Raw genomic sequence first — 17327 nt, 5'->3', positions numbered from 1 at the left:
GACCTGATGCCGGCAGGTGCTGCCGGCAGCAGGTCAGTTGGTTTAACACCCAGTTGTGCATTAACGGGTGGGCTGTAACATTTACATGGTGATCAGAGAGACCTCTGTCCACTTGCTGTTGTCAGCAGCTACTCTGTTTACCACTTGTCACCAGTTTTCTCCAACCAACATAATGTCCCTTTTCTAATGGCAAAGAATAAGCAGATTAAACCCAGACATGTAGGCTGATTACTTAGAGAAACCAGCCTCCATCATCATACATCAAGATCGTATCTATCCGCTTATCAGTACATCTGTGTGTATCCCGTTATGTAGGGAATCTTGAACACTCACACACTCCACACTCACACACCACACTTACACACACACACTCATGTTCTCTCACAGACTCACATTTTCTTACACACTCACACAGTCACACACACTTACACACAGGATACAACAGACAACAACCTTACAGTCATCCTCACAATTGTTGTTAAGAGAACAGACATTTCTGTTTCCTACAAGTAAATTTATTTGGAAAGAAAACAGATACAACTTTTCTAAATGAACATTTTTCTTCTCCTTTTATGAGTTAAGTTTAATTTGCTTTTAAGCATTTCAGATCTGACTTTGTTTATTCACGTGGCAGGTGATTCCGGGGCCCCTCGTGTGTGTGAGGGGCTCAGCACCACACGGGATGGAAGGGTGTGACCGGAGGGCACCTGCGTCCCAGGTGCGAGGAGGGAGGTGGGGTAGGGAGGCGAGTGATGTGAGACAGCGAGGCCGAGGGCCCTGGAGAGGGCTTTCCAGGGACGAGGGGTCAGGAAGGCCTGTACAGGGAGAGTGGCCCTTGCAGTAGAACTTCATGCTGGGAAGGAGGACAGCAGTCCCCAGGTCCCCAGACACTGAAGCCTGATCTATGGAGGTGGAGGAGAGGGGCAGGGGGCTGGCACCACGGCAGCTGCAGCAGAGTTGGGGGAGGTCACGGTGGACCTGAAGCTTGGAGGACAGTTGAAGAGGGGTTTGGACCCCGTCTCAGGCATGCAGTCTTTGAGCCACCAGTGTGGTGCTGGGCATTGCAGCATCCACAGGGGGACATGGAGTAGGCTGCTGTGGTCAGGAGTTCACAAGCAGGTGATGGAGGGCACTTGTGAGATGTGTAAGTCACCAGGGAGTGCATTCGACCTCTGCAGACCAGCCCAGTGTGCAGCGTGGAGGGCATCGGGGGAGGTGGTCAGCAGGAGGAACTCACCGCTGGAAGGAGAACAGGATTTGCACGGCCTCCAGGGAGGAGGCAGAGAGGCAGAGAGCCTCAGGATCAAAAACGCAGAAATCAGGAGACACAGGACGGCAGCTGGGGGAATGGCAGGGGTGCGGGGAGTCTGGGTCAGGTAGAATGGCTGGGACCAGATCCGGCCTGGAAAGCTGAGCAGAGTGGACGCGTGACAGTCCTGCCCTACACGTGTGGGCATGTGAGTAGCATTTGTGGAAACAGCGACTTAAATCCATAGAGATGTGTCAGCTCCTGCGTGTCCTGCATCCCTTTCTCACTCAACTCCGGCTCCCCTGGGAAAGTTTTACTCACCACGCCGCAACAGCAAAGCAGTGACTCAGTCCGCCACGGGGTGCGGGGCACGCACGCAAGTTCAAAGCTTTATCCCAAATGAAGCCATTTCTAGGGATGACATTTCATACACTGCATTTGGGCGTTTGCAGAGAGACGTCCACGCTGCTGAGTGTCACGCTGGCCTGGGATGATCGCAGCAGGAGAAGGGCAGGGTCACCAGCAGGTCCCCGGGGTGCCTGCAGCAGAGCTACCCCACAGGGTACATCACTTATTTACATTTTCAGATGCCACGATAACCAGCACTCAGAAATAACCCAAGACTTACAGGAATCTCTGCCATGTTGTCCCTGCGATAAAAACAGAAAAATGTTACAGTGAGATTTAAAGAGACAATCGTATTTCAATTTTGAAGAACTGTTTATTAATTTATTTTCATGACATGGAGATGTTGACTTTCTACGTATGATAATTTTTTTAATTACCAACTTATTCAAGGTTCACGCAAAAAAAGGTGAAAGATTATTGTAAGTGCCCATTGTGATTAAGTTAGAATTTTCATGAACGAACCTTTAGAAGTCTCTACCTCCTCTAGATGCATAGATGGGAAATATTTCAGTTTCTTCATTCTGATAGGCCCTATAAAATATAAGCAATATCTGATTCTGTGATCATGATAAATTTTCTCAAAACGTTAATGTTAGTATGCATTCTTTTCTAAAACTATGTATATCTAGAAGTAGCTCAGCACCAAAGAGGTTGAAGAGAGTTATCCAAGGCCATTTTGATAAATGATATCTTGGAACGCCTTTCTTCCCATTTGACTAATTATTATATCACCTTCTCCTAATCTGGAAAATCATGTTCTTGCCTGAGGCTTTTTAAAAGTATTTTACTGAATAGTTCCTCACTTGAAGAGCTTTTAAGTTATTTTTATCCTTAAAAAATAGTAGCTAACACGAGCTGGTACCGGGCAGGCACTGCGCAGGCGCTTGCTGGGTGTTGGATGCCGTTTCTGAAAAACAGACATTGTGTGAGGCCCTGGCCCGGCCGCTGTGCTAGACATTTGACACCATTGTTCCTGCGACCTCCAGGGACAGTAAGTGCTGCGTACAGCTCTGCAACTGTCCCCAAGAAAAGACCTAAAATAACTCTCTCCCTTACAAAATGCCCAGTGGGAAATGTATCTGCTATTTTTCCCGTGGTAAGCTGGGGGTCATGTCTATCCCGCAATACAGAATACGTATTAATGGTTATGGTTTCTCACTAGAGTTTTCAGATAAGAAATAATAAAAGTATTCTCTGGATATTTACAAAATCATGCAAATGTTTTTGGAAGTGTGAAAGTTAAGCCTGACACTCTGTTTCAGCTAAGAGAAAGGGTGCCAATCAGAGTGGGACACGCCATGGGCTCAAAGCGTGGTGCCCAGGGCTGAGAGTCAGATCCCCTGGGGAGACTGAGAGTCAGGTCCCCCGGGGAGACCGAACAGGAGGTTTTCCAGGTTTTCAGAACACGTGCCTTTGTCTGAAAGGATAAGAGAGCATGCCACTTCCTGCACACCTCCCTTGCCCTCGCTTCTTAATACAGGCTATGCATGTATTCAGCAGCAAAACTTCCAAAAAAGGTCAGAGAAAATGAGAGTTCTTTCCAGTTTATTGTGAATTCATGGTTTTCCTTGATTTCTGTGTTGGAGAGCTCCAGGTGGGACTTGTTTCTTGTGATGACTAGAAAGTGCGCCTCTTTTCACTGGTGACAAATCGATGATGCGGGGTCTGTGGCACTAATCTCCTGGGGGTTCCTGCAGGTCTTTTATGGACCATTCTTTTTTTTTTTTAATTATACTTTAAGTCTTAGGGTACATGTGCACAACGTGCAGGTTTGTTACATATGTATACATGTGCCATGTTGGTGTGCTGCACCCAGTAACTCGTCGTTTAACATTAGGTATATCTCCTAATGCTATCCCTCCCCCCTCCCCCCACCCCACAACAGGTCCCAGTGTGTGATGTTCCCCTTCCTGTGTCCATGTGTTCTCATTGTTCAATTCCCACCTATGAGTGAGAACACGCGGTGTTTGGTTTTTTGTGCTTGTGATAGTTTGCTGAGAATGATGGTTTCCAGCTTCATCCATGTCCCCACAAAGGACATGAACTCATCATTTTTTATGGCTGCATAGTATTCCATGGTGTATATGTGCCACATTTTCTTCATCCAGTCTATCATTGTTGGACATTCGGGTTGGTTCCAAGTCTTTGCTATTGTGAATAGTGCCACAATAAACATAGGTGTGCATGTGTCTTTATAGCAGCATGTTTTATAATCCTTTGGGTATATACCCAGTAATGGGATGGCTGGGTCAAATGGCATTTCTAGTTCTAGATCCCTGAGGAATCGCCACACTGACTTCCACAATGGTTGAACTAGTTTACAGTCCCACCAACAGTGTAAAAGTGTTCCTATTTCTCCACATCCTCTCCAGCACCTGTTGTTTCCTGAGTTTTTAATGATCACCATTCTAACTGGTGTGAGATGGTATCTCATTGTGGTTTTGATTTGCATTTCTCTGATGACCAGTGATGATGAGCATTTTTTCATGTGTCTCTTGGCTGCATAAATGTCTTCTTTTGAGAAGTGTCTGTTCATATCCTTTGCCCATTTTTTGATGGGGTTGTTTTTTTCTTGTAAATTTGTTTGAGTTCATTGTAGATTCTGGATACTAGCCCTTTCTCAGATGAGTAGATTGCAAAAATCTTCTCCCATTCTGTAGGTTGCCTGTTCACTCTGATGGTAGTTTCTTTTGCTGTGCAGAAGCTCTTTAGTTTAATTAGATCCCATTTGTCAGTTTTGGCTTTTGTTGCCATTGCTTTTGGTGTTTTAGACATGAAGTCCTTGCCCATGCCTATGTCCTCAATGGTATTGCCTAGGTTTTCTTCTAGGAATTTTATGGTTTTAGGTCTAACATGTAAGTCTTTAATCCATCTTGAATTAATTTTTGTATAAGGTGTAAGGAAGGGATCCAATTTCAGCTTTCTACATATGGCTAGCCAGTTTTCCCAGCACCATTTATTAAATAGGGAATCCTTTCCCCATTTCTTGTTTTTGTCAGGTTTGTGAAAGATCAGATAGTTGTAGATACGCGGCATTATTTCTGAGGGCTCTGTTCTGTTCCATTGGTCTACATATCTGTTGTGGTACCAGTACCATGCTGTTTTGGTTACTGTAGCCTTGTAGTATAGTTTGAAGTCAGGTAGCATGATGCCTCCAGCTTTGTTCTTTTGGCCTAGGATTGACTTGGCAATGCGGGCTCTTTTTTGGTTCCATATGAACTTTAAAGTAGTTTTTTCCAATTCTGTGAAGAAAGTCATTGGTAGCTTGATGGGGATGGCATTGAATCTATAAATTACCTTGAGCAGTATGGCCATTTTCACGATATTGATTCTTCCTACCCATGAGCATGGAATGTTCTTCCATTTGTTTGTATCCTCTTTTATTTCATTGAGCAGTGGTTTGTAGTTCTCCTTGAAGAGGATGGACCATTCTTTCTAAACAAACTTGTATTTGATCATTTACCAAACATATTTTAGAATTGGAAGGGAAGAAAAAAGTAAAGATAATATGAGAAGAGACTAAAATTTGGTTCTTAAAGAAGTATGAGACACTTGTGGGTGTCAAGGCAGGTGCATATTCGTTTAGGTAACTGTGGCTTTATAATTTCTATGTGATTTTGTACCAATAAAGTCCTCAATCACCAGAGTAATTTTCCTACTCTACGAACAATGAAAACCAAGTGCATGCGCAGTCATGCTGTAGAGTCATGCTGTAGAGCCGGCCGCACCAGCATTCCCTGACTCAGAGGTCCTGGCTGTCGAGGGTGTCAGTTGTAAGAACTGTATTCGGGTGACCGGACAGGGGCTGGGCATCCACCCCTGCGTTTCCCTTCTGTTCCCCATTTTCCTCTAGCTTCTCAGTGATAAATGATCACAAATCCTGTTCTTCCTTCCTACCACTTGATTCACAGCTCCTACCTGATTTCAGAATGTTTTTGTCTAAGAAACAACTTTCTTCTGGCAGGAAGCAGAGATGAGGTCAGGCTGCTCATGCTGTTCACACTCCCCTGACCTCTGTCCCCTGGCATGTGGGGTGCTGTTCACCCTCCCCTGCATGCCTGCTGTGTTCTAGGGTGGCCCTTGGGTATGAATTAAACATAAATTATCCCAGAGGGCTGACTTCCTCCATCACCTTACATTCATCTTCTGGTTTTAAAATAATTCTCATCCATTTCATTTATGAAATTAAAACCAAATGCATACTTTAACTCCACCTTACCCCTCTAGCCTCAGAGCTTCAACAGTGCAAATAGTCTCTCACCCTGGCTTCATACACCTAGAGGCTCACAAAAATCTGACTTCTGAGTTGTGTTGCGTTAACTGTCAGCACTCTATCCCATCAGGGCAGCACCAACTAGTCACCCCTGCCTGTTCTTAGAACTTTAAATTATTTTATAGATCACAGAAGTCAGCAAGCTTTCTCCATAAAGGGCCAGACAGTATATATTTTAGGTTTTGCAGGCTACGCAGTCTCTGTGGAGCCTCTGCTTGTGCACCTGCCATCAGTGCACAAAAGCAGCCGAGACAATTTCATCAGCAAATGAGTGTGACTGTGTTTCAGTGAACCCTTATGGACACTGGAAATTGAATGGCCTATGTCTTTCATGTGTCACAAAATACTATTTTTCTTTTTTAACCATTTAGAAGGTAAAAAAATATTCTCACCTTTCGAGATGTACAAAAACATATGGGCCAGATTTGGCCCCGAGGCATAGTTTGAAGACGCCTCTCACTGATTATTCAAACCTCCATACTAACCAGTGATATCGTGTTGTTCTGCCCAGTACAGAATACAAATGAAAAACTCTGGCCACTCTTAAAATATCTTATGTTTTAAAATATTACATAAAAAGCTAACAAGAGCACACATCATATTAATTGATGAGTAATTCTTGCATCAAGAAAGTGATATGCGTACATGTGTACATATATGCATACATATATATATGCACATGTCCATACATATATAAACATACATGCACAGACATGCATATGCATATATGCACCCATACATAGCAAGTACTTGATGCCAAGCCCTGGGTTAGGTGCTGGAAATGTAGGAGAGACAGGGACAAACATAGTCACAGGTCTGCAAGCTTGGGCTCCTGTCATTCCCAGGACCCAGTTACGGCATGATAGCAAAGAAACACCAAATATGATGTCAAACAAAGGGTTTGCCTTTCTACTGCCAGCGTGCTGTTGAGTAAGGGCCACTACTTCTGGGTCCCTGTTGTGTAAACTTGGGTTAGTAACATACACTCTATGTATGGCAGAGGACCAAATATGAAAGTGCATCAGAAAGGTCTTTGCAACCTGGAACCCAGGGCTGCCAGTTCACACTGTGGCCAGTCCTTGTTATGCATCTGAATTATTGCAGAACTTGCCCTCATCTTCTGTTATTTGCCAACATGTTTCTTTTCTTTTAAACTGAACTGTTGTTCCCCATCCCTTGAAGCTAAGGTTTCTGGCACAAATTCTTAATTTCTATGCGGCTCGCATGTGGATGTGATTCGTCTTTCAGTGTATTGATCCCTTTGCAGATTCATTGAGAAGTCTTCTATCTTAGTAGTCGCTGGCTGTTAAATCTTGGGCCCTGGAACTGACTGAAGTCATTATTGACAGGAACCCTTTTGAGCATCTGATTTGCTGTCTTGGTTGGATTTTTAATATCGATTGCCTTATCATTCCCTACTGCGACTCTGCATTTGCATGGAAATAACCTGCAAAGGCAGCAGTGTGATTTATTTCAAAATGATTATTTCTGTATAATTGGTGAACACGCTGCAGACCTCGGGAGGCCTGTTCGGAGGCCCGTCGCCTGCTTTCTGCATGTGGCCACGTCTCTGTCACCAGCACTTGGTACCGTCCTGCTGTCACCCAGCAGCGATGTACTCCAGGCGCCTCGGCTGCACAGAGCAGCTTCATCAGAGAGGCTGAGCACGCTTCCTCCTCCTCTCATCCTGCAAGCCAGAGGATGGAAGAGAAAAGGCGAAGGCTGGTAAATACTAAGTTTTAATTACCTGCTCAGTCACAAAACTGGTCAGCTTGGAAGTTGGAACTCTCCACTCTGGATTCATTTCTGCCACCTTCCCTGGACAGCCCTCCGGAATCATCCCCCAGATCCTGCTCAGAGACCTTCAAGAGGAGAGCTGCTGGCAATGCTGAGAATGCCCTAAAAACAGCCCCTCCAGCCACCTCTCTGTGGCTCTGGCCAGTCTCTGTCCCCAAACCTGGACATACTCCCGACCTCACTGGAGGATAAAGTCTGGCCGCTTGCTCAGCTCAGTCCTCCAAAATGTGACCAGCACTTGCTCAGCTCTGTCTCCAAAATGTGACCAGCACTTGCTCAGCTCAGTCCTCCGAAACGTGACCAGCACTTGCTCAGCTCAGTCTCCAAAATGTGACCAGCACTTGCTCAGCTCAGTCTCCAAAACGTGACCAGCACTTGCTCAGCTCTGTCTCCAAAACGTGACCAGCACTTGCTCAGCTCTGTCTCCAAAATGTGATCAGCACTTGCTCAGCTCTGTCTCCAAAATGTGACCAGCACTTGCTCAGCTCTGTCTCCAAAATGTGACCAGCACTTACTCAGCTCTGTCTCCAAAATGTGACCAGCACTTACTCAGCTCAGTCCTCCAAAATGTGACCAGCACTTGCTCAGCTCAGTCCTCCAAAACGTGACCAGCACTTGCTCAGCTCAGTCTCCAAAATGTGACCAGCACTTGCTCAGCTCAGTCTCCAAAATGTGACCAGCACTTGCTCAGCTCAGTCTCCAAAACGTGACCAGCACTTGCTCAGCTCAGTCCTCCAAAATGTGACCAGCACTTGCTCAGCTCAGTCCTCCAAAACGTGAGCAGCACTTGCTCAGCTCTGTCTCCAAAATGTGACCAGCACTTGCTCAGCTCAGTCTCCAAAATGTGACCAGCACTTGCTCAGCTCAGTCCTCCAAAATGTGACCAGCACTTGCTCAGCTCAGTCCTCTGAAACGTGACCAGCACTTGCTCAGCTGTCTCCAAAATGTGACCAGCACTTGCTCAGCTCAGTCTCCAAAATGTGACCAGCACTTGCTCAGCTCAGTCCTCCAAAATGTGACCAGCACTTGCTCAGCTCAGTCCTCCAAAATGTGACCAGCACTTGCTCAGCTCAGTCTCCAAAATGTGACCAGCACTTGCTCAGCTCAGTCCTCCAAAATGTGACCAGCACTTGCTCAGCTCAGTCCTCCAAAATGTGACCAGCACTTGCTCAGCTCAGTCCTCTGAAACGTGAGCAGCACTTGCTCAGTTCTGTCTCCAAAATGTGACCAGCACTTGCTCAGCTCAGTCTCCAAAATGTGACCAGCACTTGCTCAGCTCAGTCCTCCAAAATGTGACCAGCACTTGCTCAGCTCAGTCCTCCAAAATGTGACCAGCACTTGCTCAGCTCTGTCTCCAAAATGTGACCAGCACTTGCTCAGCTCAGTCTCCAAAATGTGACCAGCACTTGCTCAGCTCAGTCCTCCAAAATGTGACCAGCACTTGCTCAGCTCAGTCCTCCAAAATGTGACCAGCACTTGCTCAGCTCAGTCCTCCAAAACGTGACCAGCACTTGCTCAGCTCTGTCTCCAAAATGTGACCATGACATGAGTCACATCTTCTCTTCCTTTCACTTTTCCTCCAATTTGACCCAAGAACTGACGGTTCTATTTACTCTATGAGAAAAACGCCTCTGCATTTCCTAGGAGCCTGTCCTAGTAAGTTCTCAGTCAGCAGAATGATTTTAAGGAGTGTTTTCTTACCCAAAAAAGCTTTAAAGTCCCTTGAGTTTGAAAGAATTCTTAAGCAGTAATGTTTGCAGGAGAGTCTTTCCTGGCAACGTGTTTGTTCTGAAAGGCCCCTCCCTCAATATGATGACCATTTGCTTTGTGTAAAGTATTTTTTCTCAGAAACATAGGATTATAGACTTAGCTCCAGCAGTGTATTTAATTTGTATGAAAATAAGTCAGCCTCATGGTCCCCCCCCCTTCACCTGCAGCGTGACGTGTGGTGTCACGGCATTGCATTAGCGTCGTCTGCAGGGGCTGTGTTGTTGCTGGTCAAGACAGTTCACAGACAGCTCTGCATGAGTGATGCACGTTTCTCATCCTAGCACAGGGAGAGCACTGGCCTTCCTCAGCCAAAGGCTGATTCCTAATGGAGACGTGGACAGATGGTTCGCATCTTTGACTGAAGCACATTTTGAACTGAGAAAGAGAAAAACAGGATAGATTGGTAAAATTTAACAGCCTTCTTTACTCAGAAATATTTAGTGGACATCTACTGGGCACACAACATTCCAATCATAGAGAAAAACTATTCCAAAGGGCGTACAGTGGTGATATGTGGGCAAAGAGACACTTAGAATGCAGTGTGTACGTCCCGGGACACAGGTGGGTCCCAGTTACTGTGAAAGCCATGGGTTGATCACCAGCTTAGAATGAGTATGAGTACGGAATGCGTAAGAAGCAGCCACCTGGAGAAGCAGAGGAAACCTGGGCAAAGTTTCAGCAGCATCACACAGCCTGTGCCCCGGAGCCTGTTCTCAGAGGGCTGCTGGGTGCCCGGGGAGCTGTGCTTCCATGGAAGGTAAACTTGGGGCATGCTGCATCCTCCGGCTCCGCACATTGAAGCCCCTGAGGAGTCTTGAAATACAGAAGTGCTTTCCTAGCAGTTTAGCCACGGAGCAGTGCTTTTTCAAAGACCAGCTTTTGACATCATGCAGCACACCCGGGCTTCAGGAAACACAGTTGGAGAAAAGCTAATAAAGAGGGCTGAGATAATGGTGCACGGGGGCCCTGGAGCAAATGGTACAAAGAGGACGTCGCCCACCGAAGCTGAAGTCCCAGGAGCCCACCAAGGAGAGGCAGGGGCTGCACCAGGTGGGTGAGCCAATGGTCGCAAAGCAAGAGAATCTCCGAAGGAGCGATCAGGGAGGGCATAAAACGCACCACTGGATTTTATTAATTTCCGTCTTCTAATCCACAAGCAAAATGAGGGCAGGGACTGTTCTGTCCACCTGTGTACCTGCAGCCCTGGCTCCCAGAGGCAGCGGGAGGCTCCACTGTGGGAGGCAGGCATCTGTTTTTCTATTGCCGTGTAGCAAATCACCACATATTTTACAGCTTGAAACAGGTTTATGAGCTCAAAGTTTTGTAGGTCAAAAGTCAGGGCAGGCTCAACTGGGGTCTGTACTCTGGGTCTCTGGGTCAGGCTCAACTGGAGTCTGCACTCCCGGTCTCCAGGCCTAGCATTAAGGAGTCAGCGGCCAGGCTCTTCTTAGAGGCTCTGGGAGGGAACCCACTCCCCAGCTCACCCAGTTGCCAGTAGAATTCAGCTCTGTAGACTGTAGAATGGGCCCACTTCCCCCATCCTTGCTAGTGGTGGCAGGAGTCACTCTCAGGTCCCAGGGGCCACTCTCTGGACATGCACATGGTCCCCTCTGTCTTCAAGGCATCCCTGGCGCTTCAAATCCTTCTCAGCCTAGAATCTCTCTGACTTCCACTTCTGCCACCAGTGGAGAAAACCCTGCCTAAAGGCTCCTGTGATTAGGTCTGAGGGCCCCAGGTAATCTTTTTTTTTTTTTTTTTTTTTTTTGCCCCATTAGGTAACAATCACAAGAGACACTTCATCATAGATAGGCTCCACCATACTGCGGATGAGGGGTGCAGTGGGGAGCGGGACTCTGTCAGGGTGAGGATTAGTGGGAGCATCCTTAGAACTGTGCCTAACTCAAGGCACTATGTGAGTATCAGATGGGTGGATGTGTGGATGGATGGATAAATGGATATGTGGATGGATGGATGGATGGATAAATGGATATGTGGGTGGGTGTGTGGATGGGTGAGTGGGTGGATGGATGGATGGATGGATGGATGGATGGATGGATGGGTGGATTGATGCATAGGTAGATAAATGGATGGACAGATGCTGGGTGAATGGATGGGTGGATAGATGGATAAATTGATATATGGATGGATGAGTAGATACATGGGTAGATGGGTGGACGAATAGATGAGTGGACTAGTAGATGGGTGAGTGAATGCATGGATGGATGGATGGATATGTGGACGGGTAAATGATGGATGGGAGGTGGATGGAAGGATGAAAACTGTATAGGGCCTTACTCCTGTGCACAAGGTGTTTCCAGAGTAGTTTTAGAAACATTTTGATAGCAGCAACAACAAAAGCCCCAATTGTGCACCAAGACCAAGGACATTTTATGACATGCACTGCAAGCGCTCATCAGAGCAATGCATGGGGGAGCTCCAGCTGTTATATCAGTTTTGCAAATGAGGCAACCAAGCCTTAAAGAGATTAAATTATGTGCTCAAGGTCACACAGTAGATGATAGAACCAAGAATCAAAGTCAGCCATGTTTGGCTGGGTGGAGTGGCTCATACCTGTAACTCCAGCACTTTGGGAGGCCAAGGCAAGCAGATGACTTCAGCCCAGGAGTTCAAAACCAACCTGGCCAATGTGGCAAAACCCCATCTCTACTAAAAGTACAAAAATTATCTGGACGTGGTGGTGCACACCTGTAATCCTAGCTACTCAGGAGGCTGAGGCAGGAGAATCACTTGAACCTGGGAGGTGGAGGCTACAGTGAGCTGAGATCATGCCTCCGCACTCCAGCCTGGGTCACAGAGTGAGACTCAGCCTCAAAAAATAAAAATAAAAAAATTAAACAAAGTCAGCCATATTGGCCTCCAGACCTTTTCTAAAAGTCCAAATTCAACTCAGTTCAACTAGTGTGTTTTGAGCTGCCACTATGTCAAATTGGCCAAGAGCTAGGAATAATTTTTTTAAGTTCTTTGCTCCCCCTGAGAAGCAATTCCTAGTACTACCTGTGATGCCACTTTCTTATGACTGCTCTGGGTCTGTCCAGTGTTGGTACAAGTCACTGTGAAATTCACCAAAGGCTGCACAACCTAACCGAATCTACATGAATATTGGGCTCTTTAAGAATCTCTTATCTCTACGCCAACCGTGTTAGGGAAGCTGGGCATGTGGACTGTCACCGCGCTGAAGGAGGAAGGAACCTGAGCTCAGTGTGTGCAGCCTCACAGGGGTGACTGGCCAGCGCATGGCCGCGCCTCGCCGACCCCGTCCCCACCCTCCTGAGGCTCCCCTAGCACACGGCTGCCTCTCCTGTGGCCTCTTCCCTGCCGTGGGAGGTGCCAGGGGTGAGCTATGTGGAGCAAATAAAAACTATATGTTCTGGGCACACAAAGGAGGCATTGGTGTGAGATGGGTGGGTTGATGAGCCTCGTTTGTGGGAAAGTTTTCAAGAAATCTCTGCGGGAAGCCTGGCAGGCAGCCACATGCCTCTCATAGATGCAGAATTTCTGCCATCGCAAATCCACAGGCCACACCATGGCCCTTTTTGTTTCCTTTGCCCTCCCTGGTGACCCCAAGCACAGCGCGCCGTGACACAAGTATTCCACAAACAAGGAGCGTCCTCTTTGGCCCTGGCCCACACTTCCAAATTCCATGGTCTCTGCAGGGCTCGGCCTCCTTGAGAGGGGCCAGGAGAGTGGAGGCCCTGCGTGCCCCCGGCGCCTTCTCCAGTGGGACAAGGGGCCACAGCTTAAAGCTCGGTTCTGCACCTTTAGCCCCAAGCTCTCCTCACCTCCACCCCCAGAAAACACACTTGTTGTCGTTGCCATCGCTCAAAGTTTCTGTCCGACTCTTCACAGGCAGGGAGCAGACTATCTATCTGCTGGACAGGAGCTGGAGCTGAGTGCTCGACAAAAGCCCTGGCTCCCACTGGGCACAGCCTGCAAGCCTCTCCCCATCCATGAGAGAGGTCACCTGCGGCCCACTCTGCAGCCAGTGTACAGCCTGTCCAAGGTGGCCAAATGGAGAGGCACGGACCAGGAGCCCATTAGAGCCAGCAGAGCTGCACGGGCAATGCCCTCCTCGTGCCAAGAGGCTGATGGTCTGCAAATAGGCCCTGGTGCATTGTTTCTTCTGCAGCTTAGCATGTAAAATGCAACAAGATGTTCGTCTATTAGATATGTCAGCACACCCAGTGTTAAAGACATCAAGGAGCTCACTTACAGAACAGTACCCTGGAAATTGTGTCCAGATAGTGAATTACTTGCGTCAAAACATCCACAAAAATGAGAACCTGACCGGCTTCAGGTCTAAACAAATGGAATACTCCCTGCCTCCTTTTTCTTAGCTTTCTTCACGTGTTCCTGAAATCTGCGCTTGTAGGGGAATTGGAGGTGTCTGCAGGTGAGGGTGGAGGCTCTGAGCAGAGGCTGGCAGGGCAGGTGGTGGCCCACACGGGGTGTGAGAGGGTGGGCAGCAGGGCGGGCATGCTCACAGCCTCGGGGGTCTGTCTGGCATCTGCCAAACTGCTTTAGGTAAAAAGCCAATTGTAACAACTCCAAAACGTCTCACCACCATTAGAAGCAAATTGAGAATTAAAATTTAGAAAGGCCACTTGAGGAAAGTTGTATTATCTTATTTCAGTTTAGTGTGGAGTTTTTATATGGTTTTTCCTGGGCTAGAGGAAACAGTATCACCTTCTTTTGATTTTCTGAAAATAGGATTTTTTTTTTTTGCAATGGCTGAAGAATTGGATAACTTTTCTTTATTTCTCTAAAACAGTGTCTGTATGGCTTTAGAGTTTCTTGACCATAAAGAATGGTTTTGTGACTTCAGAATTCCCTCTTCCACAGATACCAGGTTGCCCCCGAAGGACTTGACTTGAACTTAGCTATGCAGACTCTTATTTTGCAGTGACAACTGGTCCCCATAAGAGAAGGTCTGAAACAGGGTCAGTTACAGGAATCTAGATCACACAGTGGCCCCGGTAGCCTCAGTCACCTTGAAGATACCGTCTGATAAAAGGATATGGGAGAAATGTGTATGTTTAAAAAAGCATAGCTTTAAAAACACCAAATCACAAACCAAATAATTAAACATTTTTCCATTGTGTGAATTCCACAATAATAGTTTCCTTGACCTGTTCCATGCTGCTGTTTTTAGTTAGCAGCTAAGGATTAATTTGAGCAATTATGGAAAATAACACATTTTGGTGTATTTAGATATATGGATTTATTTTTGGAAAATACTTCCTAAAGCAACTGTGGGCTAGAAAACCAGATTGCAAATCACTGTCAGAGAAAATTGTTCCATGTACCGGTACCACAGGGCCGTCCTGCTCCAATGAATTCTGCCATTGTGCATTTAAGACAAAAGTAACCAAAGCTTCCCGTCCCTTCCTGTCCCTTCCCGTCCCTGTGTGGAGGCCTCGTCAGCCCTCAGAAGTGGCTGCCCTGTTCAGAGCTCTTTCCACACAGAGTCCCTACGTGAATAGTACCATGGGCTCTTGGGTCTCCTTCCAGTACTTTCTGCCTCGGATACTGTATGGCCTTATAGCTGGATTGCCAATCATGGAAAATAAAGGAAGAAGCAGTAATATTTCCAGGAGCCATTCCCAGCCTCCTAACCATTGTCTGATTCCCAGCCTCCTAACCATTGCCTGATTCCCAGCCTCCTAACCATTGCCTGAGCCTCTGGGGACTCTCCTTTCCAGTTGCTTGTATTTTAATGTGATAGATCCCAAAATTTCCTTAGGCAATCGTGTGGACTCTAGGCCCTAAAAAGATGATCTGGAAGTGCATTTTGGTGGCTGGGGAGTGGGGCCCTGTGAGGCCCCTAAGATTGTGTCTAGGTTCCCTGTGTGGGTCAGACCTACAAGAAGGATATCTGTGGACGGTAAGCTGGAAACCTGGATTTTTGAGCCAGGAAAATTATTAGTTTCCGGGCTAAATTTCCTGGTGGTAGAGGACAGATCTGTCAAATCAGGTCAGTGGTGACTGCGTGTGTGTGTGTGTGTTTGTGTGTGTGTGTGTGGTCATTTTATGGGAACATAGAACACTCAAAACTAACCAAAATTGTACTCTGGGCTTTAAACCTAACTAGATGCGCTACCAAAACATACTACTTTTAAAGCCAAGGTAAAAATGTGGAGAACGAGTGAGTCTATTATTATGTTGATCTCTGAAATAAATCAGGGATGGGCACAATGTCTCATGCCTGTCATCCCAGCACTTTGGGAGGCCAAGGCAGAAGGATTGCTTGAGACCTGGAGTTTGAGACAAGTCTGGGAAACGTGGCAAGACCCCATCTCTGCAAAAAGTTTAAAAAATTAGCTGGGGTCCCTCTCCCCCTCCCCCTCCCCCTCCCCCTCCCTCTCCCTCTCCCCACGGTCTCCCTCTCCCTCTCTTTCCACGGTCTCCCTCTGATGCCGAGCCGAAGCTGGACTGTACTGCTGCCATCTCGGCTCACTGCAACCCCCCTGCCTGATTCTCCTGCCTCAGCCTGCCGAGTGCCTGCGATTGCAGGCGCGCGCCGCCACGCCTGACTGGTTTTCGTATTTTTTTGGTGGAGCCGGGGTTTCGCTGTGTTGGCCGGGCTGGTCTCCAGCTCCTAACCGCGAGTGATCCGCCAGCCTCGGCCTCCCGAGGTGCCGGGATTGCAGACGGAGTCTCGTTCACTCAGTGCTCAATGGTGCCCAGGCTGGGGTGCAGTGGCGAGATCTCGGCTCGCTACAACCTCCACCTCCCAGCCGCCTGCCTTGGCCTCCCAAAGTGCCGAGATTGCAGCCTCTGCCCGGCCGCCACCCCGTCTGGGAAGTGAGGAGCGTCTCTGCCTGGCCGCCCATTGTCTGGGATGGAGCCCCTCTGCCTGGCTGCCCAGTCTGGAAAGTGAGGAGAGTCTCTGCCCGGCCGCCATCCCATCTGGGAAGTGAGGAGCGCCTCTGCCCGGCCGCCATCACATCTGGGAAGTGAGGAGCGTCTCTGCCCGGCCGCCCCGTCTGAGAAGTCAGGAGTCCCTCCGCCCAGCAGCCACCCCGTCCGGGAGGGAGGTGGGGGGATCAGCCCCCCGCCTGGCCAGCCGCCCCGTCCGGGAGGTGAGGGGCGCCTCTGCCCGGCCGCCCCTACTGGGAAGTGAGGAGCCCCTCTGCCCAGCCAGCTGCCCCGTCCGGGAGGGAGGTGGGGGGGGGTCAGCCCCCCGCCCGGCCAGCCGCCCCGTCCGGGAGGTGAGGGGCGCCTCTGCCCGGCCGCCCCTACTGGGAAGTGAGGAGCCCCTCTGCCCGGCCACCACCCCGTCTGGGAGGTGTACCCAACAGCTCATTGAGAACGGGCCATGATGACAATGGCGGTTTTGTGGAATAGAAAGGGGGGAAAGGTGGGGAAAAGATTGAGAAATCGGATGGTTGCCGTGTCTGTGTAGAAAGAGGTAGACATGGGAGACTTTTCATTTTGTTCTGTACTAAGAAAAATTCTTCTGCCTTGGGATCCTGTTGATCGGTGACCTTACCCCCAACCCTGTGCTCTCTGAAACATGTGCTGTGTCCACTCAGGGTTAAATGGATTAAGGGCGGTGCAAGATGTGCTTTGTTAAACAGATGCTTGAAGGCAGCATGCTCGTTAAGAGTCATCACCACTCCCTAATCTTAAGTACCCAGGGACACAAACACTGCGGAAGGCCGCAGGGTCCTCTGCCTAGGAAAACCAGAGACCTTTGTTCACTTGTTTATCTGCTGACCTTCCCTCCACTATTGTCCTATGACCCTGCCAAATCCCCCTCTGCAAGAAACACCCAAGAATGATCAATAAAAAAATAAATAAATAAATAAA

The 17327-nt window shown here is 48.0% G+C and overlaps 1 protein-coding gene across 18 annotated transcripts in view, besides 1 other annotated feature; it reads left to right on the top strand.

Annotated features, from left to right (window-relative positions):
• The window catches only part of MBP (myelin basic protein), a 154876-nt gene that overhangs the window by 88395 nt on the left and 49154 nt on the right, over nucleotides 1-17327 (top strand). The window lies entirely within an intron of this gene.
• Nucleotides 7668-8867: an enhancer, noted in NCBI's record as "BRD4-independent group 4 enhancer chr18:74748403-74749602 (GRCh37/hg19 assembly coordinates)". NCBI's record gives its function as "activates an origin of replication core promoter dependent on BRD2, P300/CBP, MED14 and CDK7 cofactors, and independent of BRD4, by STARR-seq in HCT116 cells {active_cell/tissue: HCT116}" and the evidence as "EXISTENCE:reporter gene assay evidence [ECO:0000049][PMID:35650434]".

The sequence above is a fragment of the Homo sapiens genome, chromosome 18 (assembly GCF_000001405.40).
Source record: "Homo sapiens chromosome 18, GRCh38.p14 Primary Assembly".
NCBI classification, from domain to species: Eukaryota; Metazoa; Chordata; class Mammalia; order Primates; family Hominidae; genus Homo; species Homo sapiens.
The sequence above is the reverse complement of the archived record's forward strand: the minus strand, read 5'-3'. Positions and strand labels throughout refer to the sequence as shown.